Genomic DNA, 27,649 nt, shown 5'->3' with positions numbered 1-27,649 from the left:
TTTGCACTAGCAATATCCATCCCAGCCCCAGTACCAAGTGGTGTGATATTTGGTGCTTTTTACATGTTTCTTTGGGACTGTTTCCTCTTCTGTAAACAGGAGTTACCAGCCCTTTCATGGGTTAAGATGAGAGCTAACATATGTAATATCCCTCATCCAGTGGGTGGCACAGAGGAGCTTCATTAGGAGCTCAACAGATGGAGGGTGTTACTTGTTCCTACCAGAAGGGAAAGGGAATGTTCTTTCTCCAGCTTTATGGGATTTCTTGTAGTCCAGTGAACTTTTCAAAGGAGAAGGCAATTGTGTTTATAATGTAATTATACTCCTTTCCACTGCACTAAGTCACTTTTTGAGATCATCTTACAAGTTGGTAACAATAAACAGTTAAAAAAAAAAATTCTGAGGCCTGCACGGTGGCTCACACCTGTAATCCCAGCACTTTGGGAGGCCAAAACTGGCTCGAGACCAGCCTGGGCAACTTGGCAAAACCCCGTCTCTACTAAAAATACAGAAATTAAGCAAGCATGGTGGCACATGCCTGTGGTCCCAGCTACTCAGGAGGCTGAGGTGGGAGGCTTGCTTGAACACAGGAGGGGGAGGCTGCAGTGAGCTGAGATCATGCCACTGCACTCAAGCATGGGCGACGGAGCGAGGCTGTCTCAAAAAGAAAAAACAAAAAGCAGACTTTACTTACTCTAAAGAGGATATAATGGAGTTCAGAATGTGACTTTCCAATCAGGGGAGCACCAAGCAAGAGCTGCAGGGGGCAACGTGAATGGAGGGCTTGGCCAGGAGGGCCTCCCACCACCACCTCAGCTCACCAGGCTGACGTGAAAACCCCAAGGAGATGCGTCATTTTTTGACCAACCGTGTAAAGTTGTGACTGGATGTCCTAAAACAAACTGCCACACAAGGACTAGGGCAGTGAGAGACATTTCAAGTTAAATGCTAAAGTTTCCTCAGATAAGGTCTTCCACATCACACAAGAAGCTATTGCACATCACTCCTTTATTATACTGATATGGAAAAAGGATTTAGTACAGTTATGCTCAGATGAACACTGGACCCATGTGGCAGGGTCAAGCAACTAGAACATGATTCAGAAATCAGTGAAAGATACACTTGGACAGGACCAAGAGGCATTTCACTGCCATGAAACAAGGCAGGAAGGGATTCTAATACACACACCAGGAAGCACTCCTGCCCCTCAGAGGTCAAGGAGCTGATCCTATATTGGTATGAGGAATGGCTTATTTTCTGATGACCACATGTGGGACTATTTCAACCGCCACAAGAAACCCCAGAAGGGTTATTGTTTTGTATTATATATACTATACTTTTTTAATAAAAGTAAATTAACACATAACGAAATTCAGGATTGATCCCAACCTAGAGCCAGATCCTCTGGGGTCAGGGAGGAAACAGTTGTCACATCACCACGCAGGTTACATTCGTCTTCCACTGGAATGACTAGAGCCCCCAGGCAGTAGGCAGTGACCTGACTGCAGAAGAGCAGAGGACAGACTCCGCTCATGGGGACAGACAGGCTCTGTTGCTTCTCCTCACTGGTCATGGCTTAGCATGGTTCCTCCCCAAAGTCCTTAGTAAACAAAGCACTCGCAAAAACCCAAGTCACTACTTTTAAACTCTGTTGGATAAGGGGAGCTTTTCCATAGCTTAGACTGAGAACCTGTGCTCTAGAACTGCTATTCTGACTAGATTGTATGAAGGGAGTGGGTGCAGGCGACAAAATGGCTAAAATGAAAATGGGAGCCACTGGTCCCCGTCTGCAGCTACAACTCAAGATGTCTACAGATGTGGTCAGTGTGACATGTGCAGGTGGGAGGGGCAGAGGGACAAGACGGGCAGGGAGGGTGCTCCTGGGGACAGTATCCTCCCCGCCGGCCTTCACTTCTTGGCCTTGCCCTGGGCAGCCACAGCTTCCATGGCTTTGCGCACCGTCTCTTCATCCCCCAGAAACTGCATGGGCTTGATAGGCTTCAAGTTCTTGTCCAATTCATAGACAATGGGAATACCAGTCGGCAGGTTCAGCTCCATGATAGCCTCTTCAGAGAGACCTGAAAACATCCACCATCATCAGCCACACAAGACATAAATCCACATCACCCCTCCAGGTTTACTTTGTCCTCCAGGTGATAAAGGACTTTGACAGAAATTAAAATAAGACACCCTTTCTGATCTTTATAGTAGTTCTGAACCCAGGGAATGGCCCCCACCATACTTATTTCTCAGCCATTAAACTGAAAAGCAAGAAAAGGTATACAAGATAGACCACCAACAAACTACAGCAAGGTATATGGCCAGATATCTCTACCAAAGTGGGATCTAGAAGCCCACAGTGAAGCAAGACTACACATCTCAAATACCCTGTACAGCCCATCCAACCAAAAATCAGCACACGTGGGCCTCTAGGCCCTCGGGGATGAAGATGCAAATTGAGATTCATGTGTAAAGTTGTGCCTGGTTGTGACTAAGGAGAATTTTTTCTTTTATATATATTTGTTTTCCTTTTTTTTTTTTTTAAGAGACAAGGTCTTACTCTCTCACCCAGGCTAGAATGTAGTGGCACAATCATACCTCACTATAACCTCAAACTGCTGGGCTCAAGCGATCTCCCGCCTCAGCCTCCTGAGTAGCTGGGACTACAGATGAGCATCACCACATCAAGCTAATTTTTCATTTTTCTTTTGTACAGACAAGGTCTTGCTTTGTTGCTCAGGCTGGTTTTGAACTCCTGGCCTCCCAAGGTGCTGATAGTACAGGCATGAACCACTGTGCTTGGCCTTTTAAAATTTTGTAGAGATGCAGTCTTACTATGTTGCCCAGGCTGTCTCAAACTCCTGGCCTCAAGTGGTCCTCCTGCCTTGGCCTCCCAAAATGTTGCAATTACAGGCATGAGCCACTGTGCTTGGCAAGCTAAGGAGGATTTTCACTAGCAGTTTCATTTGACAATACCAATCTAGAGGTGAGCTTCTCAATCTTTAATGTGTATCCAAATCACCTGGGGAATAGATGCCGATTCTGAAACAGGTCTGGAGTGAGACCTGAGGTTCTGCATGTATAACAAGCTCCCAGGGGGTCCAGCTGTCACTATTCTGCAGATCACATTTTGAGAAACAAGGGTTGAGGGTGTTTTTTCACTAGAAGTCAATCTAGACCATCTCTAAAGCTGTTAACATGTCCAGCCCTTCCCTAGACTCCTTTTTACCAAGTCCCTGATTTGTGGCAGTTCTGCTTTATCCTTCCTTGAGGGCGCCTCTGAAAAAACATACATACCCTCCAGATGCTTGACAATGCCCCGGAGGCTGTTGCCATGGGCTGCAATCAGTACACGTTTCCCCTCCTTGATCTGGGGAACTATTTCTTCATTCCAGAAGGGCAGAGCTCTGGCAATAGTATCCTTCAGACTCTCACAGGAGGGTAGCTGATCTTCTGTGAGGTCTGCATACCTGCGATCCTAAGCAATAAAGAATCCAAGTTCACCACTTATTAAGAGTTACATCTGTTAAAAGACTTCATGATGTATCGATTTTGGCCCATTCACATTCACAGGGTTTTATAAAATCTGACTATGGAAACACAAAAAAGGAGATAGTAAACTATCAACCATATCTTCTAGTAAGTGAAGGTCATTCACTGGAGAAGGAAGGATTACAATTAACTATTTTATCATGAATTGTAAGTTCAGTGAGATTAGGCAGACACTACTAAAAGCCCCTGATCCTGGGCGGAGTGACCAAACCTCTGTTTGTCCATACCTTACTGATGTTGCTGTAGAAAGGATGGTCGGGCTCCATCGGAGGTGGTGGGACATCATAGGAGCGCCTCCAGATCTTCACCTGGGCCTCACCATGCTTTGCAGCAGTTTCTGCTTTATTGAGACCGGTTAGACCCCCATAGTGCCGCTCATTGAGGCGCCAAGTCCTCACCACTGGCAGCCACATCTGATCAATGGCATCTAGCACTGTCCAGAGGGTCCGGATCGCTCTCTTCTGCACTGAGGTGAAGCAGATGTCAAACTCATAGCCAGCATCTGGAAATCAGAAGTTCAAAGTGATAAGCTAACCAGGTCTACTCTGAGCCAAAATGTTCTTCAGTATCAATCTCCTGTACAAGTAGTCCAAATGACAATATTTGGCCAAAAAAGAAAATATTTGGCCAACTGTTTTGTTTATCCTTGCACTCTATCCAAGGTCACAGCTATTATGTGGGTTAAAACCTAGATTAAAACCCATGCTGTGGGACTCCAGAATCCAACTTTTCACCACCATCTCTAGCTATCCCCATTTTCCTAATTCCCAAGGATCCTGATGTTTGCATTTCAGTTAGAACTGTCACTTTTTCTTTTCTTTTTTTTTTTTTTTTTTTGAGACGGAGTCTCACTGTCACCCAGGCTGGAGTGCAGTGGCGTGGTCTCGGCTCACTGCAACCTCCGCCTCCCGGGTTCAAGCAATTCTTCTCCTCAGCCTCCCAAGTAAGCTGAGGATACAGGCGCACGCCACCATATCCAGCTAATTTTTGTATTTTTAGTAGAGACAAGGTTTCACCATGTTGCCCAGACTGGGAATTGTCACTTATAAAAGATATTTTACTAGAACTCTGAAGTAAGAAAATTAGGATTTAAATCCCAATCAGGACACAGGAAGAGCTCTTCCTGTACTGATAAAACTTCAGTTTGTTGTATGAAATTTTATTTTGTTTTTGTATTTGTTTGCAATTGTATTTGTCCATTGTATGAAATTGTATTCACTGTGGAGTATGGAAATCACATCACAAACTCTAATCCATGGTTTCTCTCTACTGTAGTCACAAAGTTCCAGCCTAATACCAAGTACCCTCAGAGTATACCTACTTAAATGTTAAACCAAGTTTAGGAGAAGCCACTCACTAAAGAAAGACCCAGTGCTGTGCACTATCTGATTCATCAATGAATCTGTCTTCCATACACAGTAGTTATTGTGGCAAGAGTTATGTTGGCCCAATGAATAGGTTCCAAGAAATCAGTCTTGGCCCGGCACGGTGGCTCACGTCTGTAATCCCAGCACTTTGGGAGGCCGAGGTGGGCAGATCACAAGGTCAGGAGATTGAGACCATCGTGGCTAACATGGTGAAACCCCGTCTCTACTAAAAATACAAAAAAATTAGCCGGGCATGGTGGCGGGCGCCTGTAGTCCCAGCTACTCAGGAGGCTGAGGCAGGAGAATGGCGTGAATCCGGGAGGCGGAGCTTGCAGTGAGCTGAGATCGCGCCACTGCACTCCAGTCTGGGCGATAGAGCGAGACTCTGTCGCACGCAAAAAAAAAAAAAAAAAAAAAAAAAGGAATCAGTCTTATTGATTTTGTTTCATTAAAGATTATTCACCCTCCCACCATAATGGGGAGATAGCCCTTTCCTTGATGACCAAGAAAACATTCCTGTTTTTCTCCATTAGGCTAGAAGGCCCTCTTAGAAATTCAGCACAAACTTGCCTGGATATTGCTTCATATTGGGGTTAGCAACAGTAATTAATAAAACATGAAGTGAATTTTTCTGCCAGTCATTCAAATGAGAATGAGGCCAAGAAGAACTCATTCTTACTGAGTGAGGGCTGGGGAGAACTAATCACCAGGAAAACTCACACCACCCACAAGAGAAAAAACAGGTCTCATCACTGAGCCGCCAGACAAGTCCTAGTAGACTCACTCACTGTCGCCTTCCTAACTGTAAGGAAAGGAATGGCTCCCCAACAAAAGGCTGAGACACCCGGAAGTGAATACCCACAGTGCAAGCCTCAGCTGGGGAGCTTCAGGCTGTTTCACTGCAATTATTTCCACTTGCAATGAGGCGGCTCACTTTGGACACATAAATAGGTCCTCAAGGAGAAAAGAAGTTCCGCTTAGGATTCTTAACAGAGAACCTGAAGAATCAGAGAATAAAGCCTCTTCCTTTAACTTGCCCATCAAACTAAAACATAGCCAGGGGCACTCACAGGGGTAGGAGTGGACAGTGTGGTGTGGACTCCATCCTCCCCCAGGCCATCCCTCTCTTAGCAGTAAGGATGCATGGGGAAACTCAGTTCTCACTAGCTTTCTCCAGAAATCAGATTCAAGGCTGTACAAACCCTATCACTTAAAGCACTGAGGAATTATTTATATATATGTATTCGACCTTTTAAACCGTTAAATCTTTTAATTTTCTATACTGTTAAATTTTTAATTTAATGCTAACATTTATTTTAAAACTGAAATAGGATCTGTTATTTTACAGAGATTACAAGTTTAACTATTTGATTAGTCTCAAACAGAGACAACATGGTTTAACGTGGACTAGTCATTGGGAAACTACCACGGACTGATACAGTTCTTCCTGCCACAGAGCTAAAGAAAATGGCCTCCTTTACCAGCACTTTCCATTTCCCAGCCTCTCCTAAAAGATGAGGTCACACCAGGCCATCTCAAACAATCACTCCCCTGCCCACCCCACCCCGCAGAGGTTTACATTTACCAGACTGTCCTGCGTTTTGCTTCATTTGAGAAGGATGGTACAGTGAAGGCAAGAAGCTAGGAGAGCAATCTGAGGCCAAATACCTGTGCCTCATCAATGACCCTTGTGAATGGCTGCTTCTTTGTCCAGAGGTTAGAAGGGAGCAAAGGAGGATCTGCCCCTATCATCAGCGGAAGCACCTCTTCAGTCCAGGGATTCTTGGCCGTGCCGGCAGCAGGGAATGCTTCCTTATTAGCATTCCAACACCACAAAGAGCAGACTGGGGCGGGAGCAAGCCTGGATAGGCAAGCATTATCTCACAGCCACTTCCACCTTTGCCCAGCGTCCTTAGCCAAAAGCCTACCAGTTCCTCACACCTACCTGTTACTTCACCCAGGACTAGGGCGAGGACACTGGACTAGGAATCAGATATGACCTTGGACAAGTCATCTTTCCAAATACTCACTTTTCCCAACTATAAAGGGGCCTTGGAAAGATGAGAAAGATAAAATCTTATCTACTTTATTGGGTAGAAGGAGCAACTCGAATCATTCATTCATTCACTCAAGTTACATCTACAGATGCGTTTTGGACACACTATTTGTGGAATGCTACTGAACAGCAAAGACCTGCACAACCACGCGGATTTCTTGGTGTTCTGAGGCTTGTTAGGCACCCCCAGGGCCTCCACCTACTGCTGGGGACGAGGCTGTGTGGCGTGTCGATCCGCTAGGATCCGTAGCCGCCTCTTGAGAGGCCTTGGTTACAGCTGCTTTAAGGCACAGGGCGTCCTCCAGGAGCACCAGACTGTACCAACCGCTTCTGGCGCTAAGGGAACCTGAAAAAGACCTGGCCGCCATAGATGGTTCCATTAGGGCAAACTGTCCACGACTTATTATTATTATTTTTTTTTTCTGGACAGAGTTTCGCTCTTGTTGCCCAGGCTGGAGTGCAATGGCGCGATCTCGGCTCATTGCAACCTCCGCCTCCCGGGTTCAAGCGATTCTCCTGCTTCAGCCTCCCGAGTAGCTGGGATTACAGGCGTGCGCCACCACGGCCGGCTAATTTTGTATTTTCAATAGAGACGGGGTTTCACCACGTTGATAAGGCTGGTCTCGAACATCCTGACCGCAAGTGATCCACCCGCCTCGGCCTCCCCACATGCTGGGATTACAGGCGTGAGCCACCACGCCCGGCCTGTCCCCGACATATTAAATGTTCAGACTAGAAAGGGAAAACTGCGAAGTGGTGTCGTGGGGAGCGCAAAGGGTTGCGGGGCGACCGCCCTGGGTCCTCCCCCTGGCACAGCCCCTCATGCTCCACGGCGTGACCTTGAACAAGTAGACTCTACCCTCTGCACTCATCTTCTCAACTACACACTAAACTGTTAAGAGAGATGCTGCCCAAGGTGCCGGCCCTCTCCGAGAGGGCGCAGACGCCAGCCAGGCGGCCTCCGAGGCCGGACACCCGGCCCTTCGCAGCCCACACCCGGCCCCTCCGCACCTCGTAGCGCCTGCCCGCCGCGCTTCGCCTCCTCGTGGCCCGCCGGGCTCAGGTCGGCGTCGTACCAGCCGCTGAAGCGGTTCTCCAGGTTCCATGCGCTCTCGCCGTGCCGGATCAGCACCAGTTTGTAGGCGGCCATGGCGGCGGGCTGGGGATGCGGCACCGACTGGGATTAGCAGATTCCGGAGTAGCAGCCCGCCCCGTCGGCCGCGCCTGCGCGCTCGCACCGCTCAGTCCGGCTCCCGCGCAAGTTCTCGCCCAAATCTTTCCACTCGCTCTGGACCGCTCTCCGCCCTCCAGGTGTGCGCATGCGCTGCATCCTGGCGCTGCGGCCCCCGACAGGAGGGGGCGCGCTTCGGCACGGCAGAGCGCATGCGTCCTCCCTCTCCAGTCCCGCGTCGGTCGCCGCAGTCACGGAGCGCACGTAAGCACGCGGAGGGCGGAGGGCGGAGGGCGGAGGGCGGAGGGCGGAGGGCGGAGGGCGGAGGGCGGAGGGCGGAGGGCGGAGGGCGGAGGGCGGCGGGCGGCGGGCGGCGGGTTGTGGGGGCGGCCCCAATTCGCTGGCTGCCGCGCTGCTCCGGAGCAGCTCGGCCAGATTAAGTGGCCCTTATCACTGGAACCGCTCCCATCCCCACGCAGAGATTGATTCACGGACCTGTGTTCGAGTCTTCACTCGTACATTCTACTTGCTTTGTGTCTTTGGGCAGGTCGGGAAACCTCTCAGCCTCATCTGTAAAATGTGATCATAAATACCGGGTACCTGGAAGTGCTCGGTAAATAGTAGTTTTTACTATTACTCTCTCATTTCAGCAGGACACTGATCTTTTTACTCCTAGTTTACACGTAAGGAAACTGCCCGTGACCCTGCTGGTTCCAAAGCCTGCTCTTTTTCCAGCGCGGGGCTCTTTATCCCGTCTCTGTCTACAATCTTTCACACACGTTAAGTCAGTGCTTTCTGGGCCTCCAACAAGAAAGCAAACGCTAGGACCCTTCAAATATTTCAGGAAGGGGCGAGTTCTAGTCACTGCCTGTTCTTCTCCGAGCCCCAATCAGCAATTTATTATTACAATTTTTTTTTTTTTTTTGAGACGGAGCTATCTCCCAGACTGGAGTGCAGTGGTGCGATCTCGGCTCACCGCAACCTCCGCCTCCCGGGTTTAAGCAATTCTGCTGCCTCAGCCTCCCGAGTAGCTGGGATTACAGGCAGCCGCCACCACGCCCGGCTGATTTTTGTACTTTTAGTAGAGACGGGGTTTCACCATGTTGTCCAGGCTGGTATCGAACTCCTGACCACAAGTGATACACCGGCCTCGGCCTCCCAAAGTGCTGGGATTACCAGCGTGAGCCACAGTGCCCGGCCTTCTTTTTCTTTTTTAAACAGAGTTTCCCCCTGTTCCCAAAGCAGAGTGCAGTAGCATGATCATAGCTCACTGCAGCAGCCTTGAAATCCTAGACTCAAGTGATCCTCCTGCTTCAGCCTCTTGAATAGCTGGGACTACAGGCATGCCACCAGGCCTGGCTAATTTTTTTTTTTTTTTTTTTTTTTTCTGTAGAGACAGATCTCACTATGTTGACCGGGCTGGTCTCAAACTCCTGGCCTCAAGCAGTCCTCCTGCAGCAACTTCACAGCAACACTGGAATGACAGGTGTGAGCCACTGTGGCAGGCCAATCTCCTGGTTGATTTCAATCTAGACACTTTAATGAGCACCAAACATGAGCCAGGCAGTGGACTAGACTCAAGGATGGGTTGAATGTGTTTCCTGTCCTTCAAGCAAGCAGAGGGCAAATAAGACCCATGTATTAGTAGCCAACAATAACATTGGGTGGCTCACGCCTGTAATCCCAGCACTTTGGGAGGCCAAGACTGGCGGATCATTTGAGGTCAGGAGTTCGAGACCAGCCTGACCAACATGGTGAAACCTCCACTCTACTAAAAGTACAAAAAAATTAGCCGGGCATGGTGGAGTGTGCCTGTAATCAGGAGGCTGAGGCAGGAGAATCACTTAAACCTGAGAGGCAGAGGTTGCAGTGAGCGGCGATCATGTACCAGTAAAGCACCTACTGCATGCCAGTTAGTGTTCTGAGTGCTTTGCAAATATTAACTCACTCAATCCTCGTATCTCCACAATGACCCTCTGAGGCAGGTTCTATCTTTTCCCACTTGCAGATGAGGAAATTTGCCCAAGGTGACAGAAATCAGGATTCAAGCCCAGGCTGCTGGCTCCCAAGACCATACTCTTTCTCCACTATTGTCTATGGCCTCCACATTTTTGTTGTATTTTTGGCATTTGTTGACTTTGAAGTGTGGGAAGGATTTGAGAGGCAGAGAAAAGGCACTTTGGGAACAACGTGAACCAAAACACGAGAGGTTTGCAGCTGCATAATCATAATAGCTCCTATTTGTGAGGGTTTAGTGCAACTAGCCTTTTAATGTATAATTTCAACCCCAGCAATTCATATTATGTAAGAATTTTTTTTTTTTTTTGAGATGGAGTTTCGCTCTGGTTGCCCAGGCTGGAGAGCAATGGCGCAATCTTGGCTCACCACAACCTCCGCCTCCTGGGTTCAAGCAATTCTTCTGCCCCAGCCTCCCGAGGAGCTGGGATTACAAGCATGTGCCACCACGCCTGGCTAATTTTGTATTTTTAGTAGACACGGGGTTTCTCCATGTTGGTCAGGCTGGTCTCAAACTCCGGACCTTAGGTGATCTGCCCGCCTCAGCCTCCCAAAGTGCTGGGATTATAGGCGTGAGCCACCATGCCCATCCTTATGTAAGAACTATTATAGCTCCGTTCCACAGATGAGGAAACCAGGGACCAGAGGAATTGTTGTGCAAAGTCACGGCTAGGAAGTGGAGGAGAAACCGGGACTCAAACCCAGGCCACCCAGTGGCCTAGTCTGCACTGTCACCACAGCACTCCACTGCTTCCCTCCTTTGTAGCTGGGAGAAGATGGAATTTAGTAACTGGAGAGGTGACTGGGATGAGGTGCAGCTCTAGAAGCTGCACCAGAACTCACAGGACCCCAGAGCTGCCAAGCTAGAATGCCCTCAAAGGGCTCGTGGTTCAAGCCCCAGAGGCGTCACCCCATGGGAGTTTCGCTGAGGAGCCTGTCTCATAGGTGGTTCTCCCTCTGATCTTTCCTGCTGTCCAGTCATCCTAATCTGTTGTTCAGGCACTCCCAGGGAGAGCTTTTTCAGCCTTAACCTTGGCTTTTTGTCCTGCCTTGGCCCAAATCCACACTCCTAGCCTGACTCCTACCGTGTTTTCTTCTCCTCCTCCTGCTCTCAAGACATTCAAGATTCTGTGCCCTTGTCACCTCGTCTCCTCACTGGGTTCTCTCATTTCTGCAATGAGTAAGAAATGTGAGTAGGAAGAAGATGCTCTCGGAAACTCAAGTTCAAATATTCCTGTTTCTGGTTAGCTCTGGGGCCTGCCATGAGTCACTCAACTTCTCATCCTGTTTTCCTGTCTGTAATCATATTCATACCCACCTAAGCAAAGCCTTTAGATGAGAAATAGATGAGATGATGAATGGAAACAACTAGTCATGAATTTTAAATATATTATTAATAATAATATATATATATATATATATTTTTTTTTTTGAGATGGAGTCTTGTTCTGTCACCCAGGCTGGAAGGCAATGGCATGATCTCAGCTCACTGAAACCTCCACCTCCTGGGTTCAAGCGATTCTCCTGCCACAGCCTCCTGAGGAGCTGGGATTATAGGTGCCTGTCACCACGCCTGGCTAATCTTTCTATTTTTGGTAGAGACAGGGTTTCACCATGTTGGCCAGGCTGGTCTCGAACTCCTGAGCTCAGGTGATCCTCCCGCCTCGGCCTTCCAAAGTACAGGGATTACAGGCGTGAGCCACTACGCCTGGCCAGTGGTATTATCAGCTAGTGATATTATATTAATAAATATTATTGTCCGGGCATGGTGGCTCATGCCTGTAATCCCAGCACTTTTGGAGGCCAAGGTGAGTGGATCACCTGAGGTCAGGATTTCGAGACCAGTCTGGCCAACATGGTGAAACTCCGTCTCTACTAAAAATACAAAAATTAGCCAGGCGTGGTGGCAGGCGCCTGTAATCCCAGCTACTTGCGAGGCTGAGGCAGGAGAATCGCTGGAACCTGGGAGGCAGAGGTTGCAGTGAGCCAAGATTGCGCCATTGCCCTCCAGCCGGGGCCGACAACAGTGAGACTCAGTCTCAAAATAAAAATAAAAATAAAAATAAGTATTATTAGCAGTGTGATTAAGAAGGCAAAAAAAGAATTAATGAGGCACCAATTCAGAAAGTGTGAGTGTGGTTGCCTGGTAGGGGAAGACTTGCCTGCCGGGGTCAGAGTTGGGCAATAACTGGGATTCTTTGGTTGGGAAGCCAAAAGCATCTGCACCACTGGCCTTGGAAAGGAACTTGGGAACCCTACTTTATTCCCTTCACCAAACCCCTCTGCCTCCAGAAGGAATCTTATACCTCCTTGGAATTCTGATGAACTCTGAAATGCCTCACTTCCTGAATATCTACCTGAGATTTATTTATTTATTTATTTATTTATTTATTTATTTATTTATTTATTTATTTTGAGATGGAGTCTCGCCCTGTCACCCAGGCTGGAGTGCAGTGGCGTGATCTCGGCTCACTGCAACCTCTGCCTCCTGGGTTCAAACCATTCTGCCTCTGCCTCCCAAGTAGCTGGGATTACAGGCGCCCACACCACGCCCAGCTAATTTCTGTATTTTTAGTAGCAACAGGGTTTCACCATGTTGGTCAGGCCGGTCTCAAACTCCTGACCTCGTGATCCACCCACCTCAGCCTCCCAAAGTGCTGGGATTTCAGGCATGAGCCACCACACCGGGCCTACCTGAGATTTATTATGCATGCCACTGAGCTACTCAACTGCAAACTCCTTGAGGATGGGCACTTCATCTTAACTGTTTCATACACCCCCACACACGAACCTGCACTTAGGATGATGCCTTTGCCCTTGGTAGACTCCCTGAGTCCCCAAGTGTCAGAGCTGGGAGAGACCTTGAGAATTCTCCACTACAAATCCCCACTCACCTCCTGCCACGCACGATTCACATTTTACAGATGAAAAAACTGAGAGGAACCATTCAAAAGGGCAGATGAGGCTGGTCCAAAGGTAGTGAGTTATCTCAACTGATTGTTCACAGTCAGTTACAGATCGAGCTCCTTGTTCTACCCTTTCCCACCTTCTCACTACTGCACTTTACTAGTCTTTTTAAAAAGTTTTTTTAATAAATAAAAGAGCAGATGAACAAGAGACTAGATTTATCAGAGGTGATCCACAGGGAAGGACTCCAAAGTCAGGGCTTCCTGCATCAGAACAGAAAGGCAGGCAGGGCACAGTGGCTCAAGCCTACAATCCCAGCACTTTGAGAGGCTGAAGTGAGAGGATGGCTTGAGCCCAGAAGTTCAAGGCCAGCCTGGGCAACATGGCAAATCCCCATCACTGCAACAAATACAAAAATGAGCTGGACGTAGTGGCATGTGCCTGTGGTCCCAGCTACTCGGGAGGCTGAGGTGGGAGGATTGCTTGAGCCTAGGAGGTTGAGTCTGCAGTGAGCCATGATTGCACCACTGCTCTTCAGCCTGGGTTACGGTGTGAGACCTTGTCTCAAAAAAAAAAAAAAAAAAAAAAAAATAGAGAGGGAGGGGCAGGAAAGGAAGATTGAGGAAGAGAATATGGGAAGTTATACCTGCCCCATTGCAAGGACCCCAAAGGCTTTGCAGCCAGAAGCCGGAATTCCTGGGCAGAGATAGGGATCCATTTAGTGCCAATCACAGCATTTTGAATCTGGGAAGAAGCTTAAAGCCTATCAAACCGAAGAAGTTTCTTGAATGCCAGTAAAGAGAGTAAACCACTGTTTTTTGCCCTCTACTAATTTTTTTTTTTAATCTTATCTCTACTGAATACAGGACAAAAAGACATTTGTCAGGGTTGATTCTTGGGCCTTCTGAAGTTCGGGGCACATGCAGGCGAGCATTACAGATCCTAAGAATAAATCAGCTGGGAGGGGCTTAGATCCCAGTGGGGTCCCAGCACGTCCTGTGCCCTCCCCACCCCTCCCAGCAAGCATCCTGAAGGACCCCCTATACAGCTCCTCACCAGGGCACTGCCGTCTTTTCCTACCCTGTAGGGAGTAAGTGGGGCCACTAAGTCCTGCTTGCTGCTAGGAGTGTGGGGGTGTCAGTGGAGGATCTGTACTCCATGCCCTCTTAGCAGGCATCCCCCCAGCCAAGGCGCTCATTAATGATGGACTCCAGTGAAGGAAATCATAACTGGGCCTTCATCTCTGCCTGAGGCCTCCAGCCAGCCCCTAAAGCCTGAACTCTCAGGACAGAAAGCCTCCCCTTGTAGAGCAGTGTTTGATTCCTCAGGCCCCAGGGAAATTTCCAGGACTCTTACAGCTTTCCAACAACAAGCTTGTTGGTCAAACTGTTACAAAAACTCAGATAAGGGTTAGGCATGGCGGCTCATGCCTATGATCCCAGCACTTTGAGAAGCCCTGGCAAGGGGATCAGTTGAGCCCAGGAGTTTGAGACCAGCCTGGGCAACGTGGCGAAAACCTGTGTCTACAATAAGATACAAAAATTAGCCGGGTGTGGTGGTGCACACCTGTAGTCCCAGCCACTAGGGAGGCTGAGGTGGGAGGATTGCTTGAGCCCCGCTAAGTTATGATTGCACTGCTGCACTCCAGTTTGGGTGACAGAGTGAGACCCTGTCTCAAAAAAAAAAGAAAAGAAAAAGAAAAAACACTGAGATAAAGAAGCTACCAGAAAAAACAAAACAAAACAAAACAAAAAACAATAAAGAAAAAGAAGAAGCCAACCAAGAGTCACAGCCCTTTTACCCTCCACTGCCCCTTAGGCTAATAAAGGCCTCTCCAGCCTTCCTTTCCCATTTATTTTTTTCCACAGAAGAACTCCACTGAACATTCATTGAAGGCCCAGATTTAGAGTGAGCGGGGCAAACCAAGTTTTGTGCTGGGTGGAAGGAGGGGCGGCTGCTGTTCAGCCCACAGGATTCCTGTGAGGACACCACATGTTCATAGTTGTTAAACCATCTTGCAAACTCATTGCCTGATGTTCAGATCTCCCGGCTCAGCTGGTGTCTGTGGAGTACAGGATTTATGTTTCAGAGAGGGCATGAGCCCAGATGATGCCTCAAGACTCAGGTTCTAGGAGAGAAAGCAGTGCTTCAGGGACTTTGACTGCCCCCGCCCGAAATGCAGTCGCCATCTGCAGGTAAACAGAGCTGGAGCTGGTGCTGCCGGAAAAGAAAGAGGAGGGCTCTCCGGCAGCCTGCGGCTTCCTCAAGGACTTCCCAGGCCAGGCGCTGTGGCTCACGCCTGTAATCCCAGCACTTTGGGAGGCCGAGGCGGGCAGATCATGAGGTCAGGAGATCGAGACCATCCTGGCTAACACAGTGAAACCCCATCTCTACTAAAAATACAAAAATTAGCCAGGCGTAGTGGCGGGCGCCTGTAGTCCCAGCTACTCAGGAGGCTGAGGCAGGAGAATGGCGTGAACCCAGGAGGCGGAGCTTGCAGTGAGCCGAGATCGCGCCACTGCACTCCAGCCTGGGTGACAGAGCGAGACTCCGTCTCAAAAAAAAAAAAAAAAAAGAACTTCCCTGACAGCACCCAGGTTTCCCTGATCCGCCCGCATTGTCAGACTTCTAAGGCCAGGCTTTAGTCCAAGCCTCTTTCTTTTTTAAATTTATGGCACTCTCAAAACCACCTGGTGTGCGTCAAGCCCTCTGCCACTAGACCCTGTGTGAAAACTGTAATGGTAAAATGCTCAAACCAGGGCAATAAGCACATTTTGACCCTTCTGCTTTCATTCACATAAAACTGATTTCTCAGTCTATATTAATCTTGGATCACATTTTTTTTTTTGAGACAAGGTCTCCCTGGGTTGCACAAGCCAGTTTTAAACTCCTGACCTCAAGCGATCCTCCTGCCTTGGCCTTCCAAAGCACTGTGTGAGCCACTGAGCCTGACCTCAAAATTGTACATTCAAAACAAGCTGACGTCCTGGGCACAGGAGGCACGTGCCTGTAGTCCCAGCTACTCAGGAGGCTAAAGCAGGAGGATGGCTTGAGGCCAGGAGTTTGAGGCTGCAATATGCTATGATCACACGTGTGAATAGCCACTGTACTCCAGCCTGGGCAATAAAGTGAGACCCTGTCTCTAAAAAAATTTAAAAAAAAAAGCTGGCAGAAACTTAGTTATTTGGGATTGATTTGCATCAAGTTTAGTGAATTGTTGGGAGATTAGCAGTGTGTTAGTCCAGTGTGGGGAAAAGAAAGAGAGATCAGATTGTTGCTGTGTCTGTGTAGAAAGAAGTAGACATAGGAGACTCCATTTTGTTTTGTACTAAGAAAAATTCTTCTGCCTTGAGATGCTGTTAATCTGTAACCTTACCCCCAACCCCGTGCTCTCTGAAACATGTGCTGTGTCAACTCAGGGTTAAATGGATTAAGGGCTGTGCAAGATGTGCTTTGTTAAACAGATGCTTGAAGGCAGCATGCTCGTTAAGAGTCACCACCACTCCCTAATCTCAAGTACCCAGGGACAGGCCAGGCACGGTGGCTCACGCCTGTAATCCCAGCACTTTGGGAGGCCAAGGCAGGCAGATCACGAGGTCAGGAGATCAAGACCATCCTGGCAAACACGGTGAAACCCCGTCTCTACTAAAAATACAAAAAATTAGCCGGGCGAGGTGGCGCACGCCTGTAGTCCCAGCTACTCGGGAGGCTGAGGCAGGAGAATGGCGTGAACCTGGGAGGCGGAGCTTGCAGTGAGCAGAGATCACGTCATTGCACTCCAGCCTGGGCGACAGAGCAAAACTCCCTCTCAAAAAAAAAAAAAAAAAATGAATCAAGTACCCAGGGACACAAACACTGCGGAAGGCTGCAGGGACCTCTGCCTAGGAAAGCCAGGTATTGTCCAAGGTTTCTCCCCATGTGATAGTCTGAAATATGGCCTCGTGGGAAGGGAAAGACCTGACCGTCCCCCAGCCCGACACCCGTAAAGGGTCTGTGCTGAGGAGGATTAGTGTAAGAAGAAGGAACGCCTCTTTGCAGTTGAGACAAGAGGAAGGCATCTGTCTCCTTCCCGTCCCTGGGCAATGGAATGTCTCGGTATAAAACCTGATTGTATGTTCCATCTACTTAGGGGGAAACCGCCTTAGGGCTGGAGATGGGACATGCGGGCAGCAATACTGCTCTTTAAGGCATTGAGATGTTTATGTGTATGCATATCTAAACCACAGCACTTAATTCTTTACCTTGTCTATGATGCAGAGACCTTTGTTCAGGTGTTTGTCTGCTGACCTCTCCACAATTATCCTATGACCCTGCCACGTCCCCCTCTCCGAGAAACACCCAAGAATGATCAATAAATACTAAGGGAACTCAGAGGCCGGCGGGATCCTCCATATGCTGAACGCTGGTCCCCTGGGCCCCCTTATTTCTTTCTCTATACTTTGTCTCTGTGTCTCTTTCTTTTCCAAGTCCACCTAACGAGAAACACCCACAGGTGTGAAGAGGCAACCCACCCCTTCAGTCCAGGATCTCCTAGAAGCAGTTGCCAAGACAGGATGTGCAGGAAATATATTAGAAGTGTCTGTGACAGGAAATGGGGCTGGGAGCACAGGTGTGATGCTGCGTAAGGGAAGGAGGAAGGAAGGTTTGGTGGGTGGCAGCGTCGTCTTAGATTGCAAATGCAATTCTGGGGAAAATTCAGCAAGCCTGTTGGGGGCTACTCCAGCCGAAGTTACCCTTCTTCAGAGGGGTCCTCAGGCTCCCAGGACCAGCCTGCCTTCACATCCTTGATACAGGGATGCTAAGTCATGACTGGATGCAGCCCATGGGCAGCACAGCATCTGAATGCTAGGAGGGGCCCTCAGCCAATCAGCTCTCTTCCCTGGGTATGGTGGCTTATGCCTGTAATCTTAGCACTTTGGGAGGCTGAGGCAGGTGGATCACTTGAGTCCAGGAGTTCAAGACCAGTCTGGGCAACACAGTGAGACCCTGTTTCTAAAAAAAAAAAAAAAAGAAAAGAAAAAGATAGGCCAGGCGCGGTAGCTCACGCCTGTAATCCCAGCACTTTGGGAGGCCGAGGTGAGCGGATCACAAGGTCAGGAGATCGAGTCCATCCTGGCTAACATGGTGAAACCCTTTCTCTACTAAAAATACAAAAATTAGCCAGGTGTGGTGGCGGGCGCCTGTAGTCCCAGCTACTTGGGAGGCTGAGGCAGGAGAATGGCGTGAACCTGGGAGGCGGAGCTTGCAGTGAGCCGAGATCACGCCACTGCACTCCAGCCTGGGCGAGAGTGCGAGACTCCATCTCAAAAAAGAAAAAAAAAGAAAAAGAAAAGAAAACATTATGCTGAGCCAAAGAAGCCAGTTACAAAAGACTGCATGGTTTATGATTTTACTTATATGAAATGTCCAGAATAGGCAAATCTATAGAGACAGAAAGTAGATTAGTGATTGCCAGGGGCTGGCAGGGTTGGGGGTGATAAATACAGGGTGTGGGGTTTCTTTTTGAGGTGCCAAAAAATGTTTTAAAGTTGACTGTGGTGATGTTGCACACATCTGTGAAGATACCAAAAACCACTGAATTGTACACTTTATTTTTTATTTTATTTTATTGAGACAGAGTCTCACTCTGTCACCCAGGCTGGAGTACGGTGTCACGATCTCAGCTCACTGCAACCTCCACCTCCTGGGTTCAAGTGATTCTCCTGCCTCAGCCTCCCGAGTAGCTGGGATTACAAATTTGTGCCACCATGCCTAGCTAATTTTTGTATTTTTAGTAGAGACAGGGTTTCACCATGTTGGCCAGGCTGGTCTTGAACTCCTGACCTTAGTTGATCCACCCACCTCGGCCTCTCAAAGTACTGGGATTATAGGCATGAGCCACCGCACCTGACCAAAAGTTTTAAACAATTATTTTAAAAAACAAACCCACCCGAGCCTACCTACCAGAAGCCTTTGCTCAATGGGAGTGAAGTGGGCGGGTAGCTCTGGTGGATCTAAGTGGCCACTGAGCTGCAGAAAAGCATCCGTCTGCTTTTACCCTAGTCCTGACAGAGCTCAGAACCTCCCATGGCAGCTCCAGGGATGGTTCTTAGGGTTGTGGTTGGGCAAACACATGTGGTTCCCACTAAGCCCAAGGAGAGACATAAAGGAGAGACCAAGGAGAGGCTTCTGTGGAGAAGGCAGGGGCAAAAGCTGGCTGTAAGGTCTGGCCAGCTGCACCACACTGCCCACCAGCACCTCATCTTCTCCTTTACGGAAGAAGTGACTGGGAGTCCGGGATCCTAGGTCTCATTTCTGATTTTTTTTTTTTTTTTTTGAGATAAGGTCTCACTGTGTCTTGTGGGTGGGAGTGCAGTGGTGTGATCATGACTCACCGCAGCCTGAGCTCAAACTCTTGAGCTCAATCCTCCCATCTCAGTCTCCCAAGTAGCTGAGACTACAAACATGTGCCATCACACCCCGCTAATTTTTTTTTTTTTAGACAGTCTTGCTCTGTAACACCCAGGCTAGAGTGCAGTGGCACGATCTCGGCTCACTGCAACCTCTGCCTCCCGGGTTGAAAGGATTCTCCTTTCTCAGCCTCCCGAGTAGTTGGGATTATAGGCACCCGCCATCATGCTCAGCTAATTTTTTGTATTTTTAGTAGAGACAGGGTTTCACCATGTTGGTCAGGCTGCTCTCGAACTCCTGACCTCAGATGATCCACCAGCCTCGGCCTCCCAAAGTGCTTGGATTACAGGCGTGAGCCACCGCGCCCGGGCTTTTTTATTTTTTTAAGAAATGGGGTCTCACTATGTTGGCCAGGCTGGTCTGAAGCTCCTAGGTTCAGGGGATCCTCCTGCTTTGACCTCCCAAAGTGCTGGGATCACAGGTGTGAGCCACTGCACCCAGCCCTAGGTCCCATTTCTGATTAGGTATGTTCCTTACAATGCAACTAACTTCCCTGATTCCCTGTGTTGGAAACACCTCAGCCACAGGATCTTGGAGAGGTGACAAACTGGACCTTTGAATACCTGGGCCAGGCAAGTATTCTGACCCTAGCCAGCCTGTGAACTTCCCTCCCCAGAGCCAACATGGTCCTTTATAAAAGAAAACAACCTCTGAGAGTGAATGTTTTGAGCTACAGTCACTTGAGGGGGAAAAAAAAGCTCATACCCACAGGAAAGACTGTTCTGCTGCCATGGCAACAAGTCACCACCATAACCAGTTTTAAGCCACTTAAAGACAATTCCTCTCCCTTCAGCTGAACAATTTTCCTCAGTGACCAGACATCTGACACCAGCCAATCGGTAACAGCCACACTGGTTGGCCAACCAATCCCTAAACACTACCTCCCTTGATATGTGCCCACCATTGATCTTCAACCTCCTAGCACCTTATATAAGATCAGTGCCCTGCTCCACTCACAGGGATTGCACCTAACAGGCCCAGCTCCACCTCCCTTAAGTAAGTACTGTAGTAAATGCAGCTTTTTGGTTCAGATGTTGAGAGATGGTCTTTTCTTTAGACACACTCGTATTCTGGAATCTTGCCTTCCTGGGAGCGATTGATTCTCACTTCCTCTGTGGTGTCATTGCCTCCATGCCTCTGAGCCTCGTATACCTGTACGCATCATATGCCTCTATGGTGTCACTGGGGAATGAGAAAAAGGCCAACTCCAGGCGTGGTGGCTCACGCCTGTAATCCCAGCACTTTAAGAGGCCGAGGTGGGCAGATCACCTGAGGTCAGGAGTTGGAGACCAGCCTGCCCAACATAGTGAAACCCTGTCTCTACTAAAATACTAAAATTAGCTGGGCGTGGGGGCGGGCACCTATAATCCCAGCTACTTGGGAGGCTGAGGCAGGAGAATTGCTTGAGCCTGGGAGGCAGAGGCTGCAGTGAGTTGAAACTGTGCTACTGCACTCCAGCCTGGGCTACAGAGCTAGACTCCGCCTAAAAAAAAATAAATAAATAAAATAAAATAAAATAAAATAAAAGGCCAACTCTTCTTCTCTACAAGGCACCAATGAAGACTGGATTTCAGACCCCTCATCTGGGAAACTAAGCAGTCCACATACTTCACAACTGTACACGGCAACCGTGCTCACCCCTCATAACCGCTAGCCTTCACGTGTCATTCTACCTCCCCGATACCTTCTCCAATCTGTCCTTCCCTCTTTGCCCCCGCTGCCACATTCTTAGTTTCAACCCTTATGGTTTCTTTCCTGTACTGATGCAGCAGTTTCCGACACATCAGTGACTCAGGTCTTGCCTGCATCTAGAGCAAACACATCGTGTTCTTACTTGCCCCTGTGCCTTTGTAGCTGCTGTGGCCTTGCTTGGCCTGAACAGCCACCCTCAGCTTCCTGGTCAACTCTAGCTCATGCTGTAGCACTCAGCTCCAACGTCACCTCACCTGAAAATTGGCCCTGACTCGCCTCTCAGACATGACTATAGTCTGCCAGGCTCTGGACTCCCATAGCTCCTGACCATACCTGGATGATGGCACTGATTGCCACAGGGATTGTTTACTGCCACCCCAACCAGCCTGTGAACTCTAGATGTGAGAGCTAGGCTGCTTTCATTGCTTGGTAACCAAATGGTTATAAAGAACAGGAATTGGGAGAGGAGTAAATTACAATTATAACTCCCCACTTAATGCTATTGGGAATCTTTCCCTAGCTTTGGTTTCCCCATTTTAAAATGTGGATAATAGGCCAGGTGCAGTGGCCCGTGACTGTAATCCCAGAACTTTGGGAGGCGAAGGCAGGAGGATCATGTGAGGCCAGGAGTTAGACACCAGACTGGATAACATAGTGAGACCCTGTCTCTAATTAAAAAAAGAAAAAAAGAAAAAATAATAATAGGCCAGGCGCGGTGGCTCACCCCTGTAATCCTAGCACTTTGGGAGACCGAGGCAGGCAGATTGCCTGAGGTCAGGAGTTTGAGACCAGTCTGGCCAACGTGGTGAAACCCGATCTCTACTAAAAATACAAAAAAATTAGCCAGATGTGGCGGCATGTGCCTGTGATCCCAGCTACTCAGGAGGCTGAGGCAGGGGAATTGCTTGAACCAGGGAGGTGGAGGTTGCAATGAGCCAAGATCATGCCACTGCACTCCAGCCTGGACGACAGAGCAAGACTCAGTCCCAAAAATAAATAAAAAATAATAATAATAAAATAAAATGTGCATAATAATAGCACCTACCCTATACAGTGGTTGCGAGGACTCAGTAGGATCACACATGTGAAGTGCCAGGTCTATAGAGGCTAATAAATGATAGTTCTTATTACCACAGAGAGCCCCTGACACAAAGGATACATCCATTAAATGCTATTTTCCTCTCCTCTTCTCTGCCACAATGCCCAATCTACTTGGCAGGATGGTATAGTGGTTGGATAAATGATGGACCAACATTTCTGTTATTTTCCTTGATTGCAACCTTCAAAAATTATTGTCCAGGCAAGATAGCTCACGCCTATAATCCCAACACTTTGGGAGGCTGAGGCAGGAGGATTGCTTGAGCCCAGAATATTGAGACCAGTCTGGGCAACATAAGGAGACCTTGTCTCTGCAAAAAATTTAAAAATTAGCTGGGCATGGTGGCATATGCCTGTAGTTCCAGCTACTTGGGAGGCTAAAGTGGGAGGATTGCTTGAGCTCAGGAGGTCAAGGCTGCAGTGAACCGTGATCGCATTCCAGCTTGCATGACTACTGCATTCCAGTCTGGTTGACAGACATAAAAGATATACCTTGGACAGCCCCTCTTAGACACCCTAAGAGCGTTATCTGAACCTCTCTTGTGCCCCTTGCTGAGCTCTGCATAAGTCATGTGTTCACTTGGCAAGCAGATGTATTGAGCCACACACTGTGGTAGGCTCTGATGGCGCCAGAGTAGACCAGACATGGTTCCTGTAATCAGGGGTTTCACAGTCAGATGGTCAGATGAGGGAGGCAGAGAAGCAAAATGCAATTCTATTAATTGAGCATCAGTGAACAATAAAGTTACCAGGGGCTTTAGAGAGCTCTGGGTACAACATCTTCAATGTACAAATAAGAAAACCGAAGAGTTTTGTGCTTGTCTTTTCACCATTCCCCCATAGGTTACTTTCTTTTTTTTTTTTTTTTTTTTTTTGAGACAGAGTATCTTGCTGTTGCCCAGGCTGGAGTGCAGTGGCGCGATCTTGGCTCACTGCAACCTCCACCTCCCAGGTTCAAGCAATTCTCATGCCTCAGCCTCCCAAGTAGCTGGGATTACAGGCGTGTGCCACCATGCCTGGCTAATTATCCCCTGTAGGCTTCTTTTTTTTTTTTCTTTTTTTGACGGAGTCTCGCTCTGTTGCCCAGGCTGGAGTGCAGTGGTGCCATCTCGGCACACTGCAAGCTCCGCCTCCCAGGTTCACTCCATTCTCCTGCCTCAGCCTCCCGACTAGCTGGGACTACAGGTGCCCGCCACCACGCCAGGCTAATTTTTTGTATTTTTAGTAGAGACAGAGTTTCACCATGTTAGTCAGGATGGTCTTGATCTCCTGACCTTGTGATCCACCCGCCTCAGCCTCCCAAAGTGCTGGGATTACAGGTGTGAGCCACCGCGCCCAGCCCTATCCCCTGTAGGTTTCTTAAGGCAGAGCAAGAGTCTTTTTCTTTTATTATTTATTTATTTTTTTTTTGAGACGGAGTTTTGCTCTGTTGCCCAGGCCGAAGTTCAGTGGCACAATCTCAGCTCATTACCATCTCCGCCTCCCAGGTTCAAATGATTCTCCTGCCTCAGCCTCCCGTGTAGCTGGGATTACAGGTGTGCGCCACCATGCCCAGCTAATTTTTGTATTTTTAGTAGATACAGGGTTTCACCATGTTGGCCAGGCTGGTCTTGAACTCCTGACCTCAGGTGATCCACCCGCCTCAGCCTCCCAAAGTGCTGGGATTACAGGCATGAGTCACCGCACCCGGCCAAGAGTCTTTTTAGATGGAGTTTCACTCTTGTTGCCCAGGCTGGAGTGCAATGGCGTGATCTCGACTCACTGCAACCTCAGCCTCCCGGGTTCAAGTGATTCTCCTGCCTCAGCCTCCCAAGTAGCTGGGACTACAGGCATATGCCACTATGCCTAGCTTATTTTGTATTTTTAGTGGAGATGGGGTTTCACCATGTTGGTCAGGCTGGTCAGGTGCCCGGCCCATAAGCTTCTTTAAATACTTTCATATGTGTGCTTAGCATAGTACCTTGCACATAATAGGTGATCAAGAAATAACTTTTGAGTATGTAACTGGGTTAAATTAATTAGAACCAGTCCTCCTAACACCCAGCTGAGATCCAGAGGCTGCTAGTTGCCTCCCCAATATCAATTCTTCCTTTCTCTCAATAGGCACAGGGGGTGAGCTGCAACTTACCCAACTAAAAGACTAAATTTCCCAGCCCCTTCTGCAGCTAAATTTGGCCAAATTACTAAATTCTAGTCAATCAAGTGGAACTGACTTAGCTGGAAGGTGCACCTTTTGGCTCTTCCTCCTTTCCTTCCTACACTAGGCCTCCACCTGGATCATGAGTGTGACAGCTGGAGCTCCTGCAGCCCATCTGTGGAGCACAAGGTGACAGTGAAAATGGAAGTCATACGTTATGGAGGTTGAAGCAGAAAAAGAGAGGGATCCCAGGATCCTGAAGATTCTGTGGAACTGCCATAGCAGCCTGGACTGCCCATTACCTCCTGATTTCCATTTCTTGAATGTGAGAGAATTAACCCTTGCCTGTTTAAGCCACTGTAGCAGTCTCTTATAGCAACTGAACACAATTCCTTACTGATATAGAGGCCCTGAGAAGAATGAAGAATTTGAAGTGGTAAATGGGGAACGGTTTAATTTTGGGGTAAGTGGAGAGAGAACAGTCCTCCCCATTGAGCAGAGTCCCCTGCCATGCCCAGATTCCAGTCTTCCTCAGCCTAGGAGGGGACATGCTTCCTCTCCAGCACACCAGGCTCTTTCCCCAAGAGTTATTCTAGAAAGCAAGCTCTTTTTGGCTTTTGGATTTTTTTTTTTTTTTTTTTTTTTTTTTTGAGACAAGGTCTCACTCTGTCACCCAGGCTGGAGTGCAGTGGCACAATCATGGCTCACTGCGGACTTGACCTCCTGCACCTCAGCCTCCCGAGTAGCTGCGACTGTAGGCGTACATCACCATGCCTGGCTATTTTTGTGTTTTTTGTAGAGTTGGGGTTTCTCCATGATGCACAGGCTGGTCTTGAACTTCTGGGCTCAAGCGATCCTCCCACTTTGGCCTCCCAAAGTGTTGGGATTACAGGCGTGAGCCACCACACCCAGCATCAAATGGAATTGTAATGCCCCAGGAGCTGAGGGACACTTGACCCCTGCAGCAGTGCTGTGCCAGGCACTGGGCTAAGGATTTCACATGCATTATCTCATTTTAGCCTCATAACAGCAGCCCCATTTTCAGATGAGAAGACTGTGGCTCACAGAGCTCAGCCGCCTGCCCCGGCTCACGCAGCTGGGATGTGGCTCCAAACCCAGGCTTCCTAAGTCCAAAGCCTGGGCTTCAACACAGCTCCAGCAGTTAGGAAAACCGTCCGGAGCAGCTGCAACAACAACGGGTTGGTCAAAATGCCCTGACCTTGAGCTCTAGGTTAAACACCCAGACCTCTGCTTCCTCTTTGTTTGAGGCAAGAGGCTAAGCCTCAATTTCCCTTTCTTCCTGCCCAGTGTCATAACAGATTACAACTTGCTGACCTAAAACTGGTTTTACTGCTCCGCATGGCCACAGAACTTTGGGTGTGGCAGCTCTGTTACCTCCACAGGAGCCTTGCAGACAGTTTTAAGAGCAGTGCAGGCCGGCACGATGGCTCACGCCTATAATCTCAGCACTTTGGGAGGCCAAGGCAGGCAGATCACCTGAGGTCGGGAGTTCGAGACCAGCCTGACTAACATGGAGAAACTCTGTCTCTACTAAAAATACAAAATTGGCCGGGCTTGGTGGCACATGCCTGTAATCCCAACTACTCAGGAAGCCTGAGGCAGGAGAATCGCTTGAACCCGGGAGGTGGAGGTTGCAGTGAGCCGAGATTGCACCATCGTACTCCAGCCTGGGCAACAAGAGCGAAACTCCGTCTCAAAACAGAAAAAAACAAAAAAAACAAGGGCAGTGCTATGGGGGGAGGGGGTTCATCCTGGGCTAAGCGTTGGATCTCCTGGCTTCTGCTCACTGTGTGACCTTGGGGGTGTCACTGAACCCCTTAGAACTATGTTTCCCCATCTGTGAAATGAGGACACCTGCTCTGTCCTCCTCACTTAGAGAATTAATGAAAAAGTATTTTGGAACTGAGGAAGAGTTTTTTTAGATGATAATAATAGCTCACATTTATTGCATGCTCACTGTGTACCAGGCAGCGTGCTCAGCACTTAAAATTCATTATCTTATTTAGTTCCCATAAATCAGACAGGTAGGCATTCTTATCATCTCCATTTTACAGATGTGGAAAACTGAGGCTCAGGGAAGAGTAAGGTGAGTTGTTCAAGGTCACAGAGCAAGTGGTGGTACTTGAATTCCAACCCAGAGAGTCTAACTGCAGGACCTATCCTACAGATGTGGTGGTCCTTATTAACCATATGTGGAGGGGCTGATCATGGATACAGCTAGAGCCTCTGGGTGGGAGTTACTGCTGGAATTCAGGGGTGGAGAGGTGAGCCCTGGGGTACCGGGTGGAAGAGATTGTGCTCAGGCCATTTGGATGCCTATCGTCCTCTCTTCTGGTAGAGCACGCCTCCTGGAGGAGGCTCTGAGCAGATGCCTCAGGATGGACGGCCAGCAGGTGACCTAGGGCCCCTCAATGCCCATACCAGGCTGACGATTTAGCCAGGGCTGTATTCAGTTACGACGCAGACTCGGTTTGGAGGCCAGCAGGTTTCTGTAGCCCAGGAAAAGGATGGGACATCTGCCACTACCCTTGGCCTCTGCATCTCCGCATCTGATTTGCAAAATCCCAGTCTACTAGTTGGTATTGCAGGCTCTCTATAGGGTTTTAGCCCTAACAGGTTGTTGGTAGCACTCCCTCTGGTGGCAAAGATGCACCACTGACCCCTCTGTAAAGCACAATACTACACATGTTTTGGAGTTGTCCGTAATTTGACACAGATACACAGTTTCTTTTATTTTTATTTATTTATTTATTTATTTTTGAGACGAAGTCGCACTCTGTTGCCCAGGCTGGGGTACAGTGGCACGATTTTGGCTCACTGCAACCTCTGCCTCCCGGGTTCAAACGATTCTCCTGCCTCAGCCCCCCAAGTAGCTGGGATTACAGGCGTGCACCATAACGCCTGGTTAATTTTTGTATTTTTAGTAGAGACGGGGTTTCGCTATGTTGGCCAGGCTGGTCTCGAACTCCTGACCTCAGGTGATCCACCTGCCTCGGCCTCCCAAAGTACTGGGATTACAGATGTAAGCTACCATGCCCAGCCACAGATACACAGTTTCATACTGAATCCTCACAGCAGCCCAGTGGGTTCAGAATTATTATCACAACTTTCAGCCAGGCACAGTGGTTCACACCTGGAATCCCAGCACTTTGGGAGGCCAAGGTGGGTGGATCACTTGAGGT

General features: G+C 48.6%; 1 protein-coding gene and 1 long non-coding RNA gene across 3 annotated transcripts, besides 4 other annotated features; one reads left to right on the top strand and one right to left on the bottom strand.

Annotated features, from left to right (window-relative positions):
* Nucleotides 1-988: 988 nt before the first annotated feature.
* Nucleotides 989-8,242, bottom strand: PGAM1 (phosphoglycerate mutase 1). Of its 2 annotated transcripts, none has more exons than NM_002629.4 (4): nt 7,987-8,242; nt 3,780-4,054; nt 3,298-3,478; nt 989-2,078 (listed from the first exon to the last, which is right to left on the bottom strand). In NM_002629.4, exons 1-4 carry the CDS (start codon nt 8,123-8,125, stop codon nt 1,909-1,911), a joined length of 765 nt encoding a protein of 254 aa, NP_002620.1. In that variant the 5' UTR covers nt 8,126-8,242; the 3' UTR covers nt 989-1,908. The 2 variants fall into 2 exon arrangements, with proteins under 2 accessions (NP_002620.1, NP_001304008.1); NM_001317079.2 differs by lacking the exon at nt 7,987-8,242 and adding an exon at nt 6,505-6,615.
* Nucleotides 7,069-7,291: a silencer, noted in NCBI's record as "fragment chr10:99186899-99187121 (GRCh37/hg19 assembly coordinates)". NCBI's record gives its function as "represses an EF-1alpha promoter that drives an FKBP-Casp9 reporter gene in an ReSE screen in phorbol 12-myristate 13-acetate-treated (for megakaryocytic differentiation) K562 erythroleukemia cells {active_cell/tissue: K562(+PMA)}" and the evidence as "EXISTENCE:reporter gene assay evidence [ECO:0000049][PMID:32094911]".
* Nucleotides 8,243-8,375: 133 nt separating the features above from the next.
* Nucleotides 8,376-15,686, top strand: LOC644215 (uncharacterized). The gene is made up of 2 exons (NR_157582.1): nt 8,376-8,410; nt 14,938-15,686. It is a non-coding gene; the product is annotated as an uncharacterized LOC644215 (long non-coding RNA).
* Nucleotides 8,554-8,603: a silencer, noted in NCBI's record as "silent region_2677". NCBI's record gives its function as "represses an Ori minimal core promoter by ATAC-STARR-seq in GM12878 lymphoblastoid cells {active_cell/tissue: GM12878}" and the evidence as "EXISTENCE:reporter gene assay evidence [ECO:0000049][PMID:35858748]".
* Nucleotides 11,247-11,541: a silencer, noted in NCBI's record as "tiled region #6385; HepG2 Repressive non-DNase unmatched - State 23:Low". NCBI's record gives its function as "represses a minimal TATA promoter and a strong SV40 promoter by Sharpr-MPRA in HepG2 cells {active_cell/tissue: HepG2}" and the evidence as "EXISTENCE:reporter gene assay evidence [ECO:0000049][PMID:27701403]".
* Nucleotides 15,786-15,835: an enhancer, noted in NCBI's record as "active region_3850". NCBI's record gives its function as "activates an Ori minimal core promoter by ATAC-STARR-seq in GM12878 lymphoblastoid cells {active_cell/tissue: GM12878}" and the evidence as "EXISTENCE:reporter gene assay evidence [ECO:0000049][PMID:35858748]".

The sequence above is a fragment of the Homo sapiens genome, chromosome 10 (assembly GCF_000001405.40).
Source record: "Homo sapiens chromosome 10, GRCh38.p14 Primary Assembly".
NCBI classification, from domain to species: Eukaryota; Metazoa; Chordata; class Mammalia; order Primates; family Hominidae; genus Homo; species Homo sapiens.
The sequence above is the reverse complement of the archived record's forward strand: the minus strand, read 5'-3'. Positions and strand labels throughout refer to the sequence as shown.

Coding starts and splice junctions, on each gene's coding strand:
- PGAM1 (NM_002629.4), bottom strand. CDS start 8,125: ATGGCCGCCTACAAACTGGTGCTGATCCGGCACGGCGAGAGCGCATGG. Junction 4,055..7,986: donor CGGCGGGCAGGCGCTACGAG/GTGCGGAGGGGC, acceptor TCTGATTTCCAG/ATGCTGGCTATGAGTTTGAC. Junction 2,079..3,297: donor CATTGTCAAGCATCTGGAGG/GTATGTATGTTT, acceptor GGATGTTTTCAG/GTCTCTCTGAAGAGGCTATC.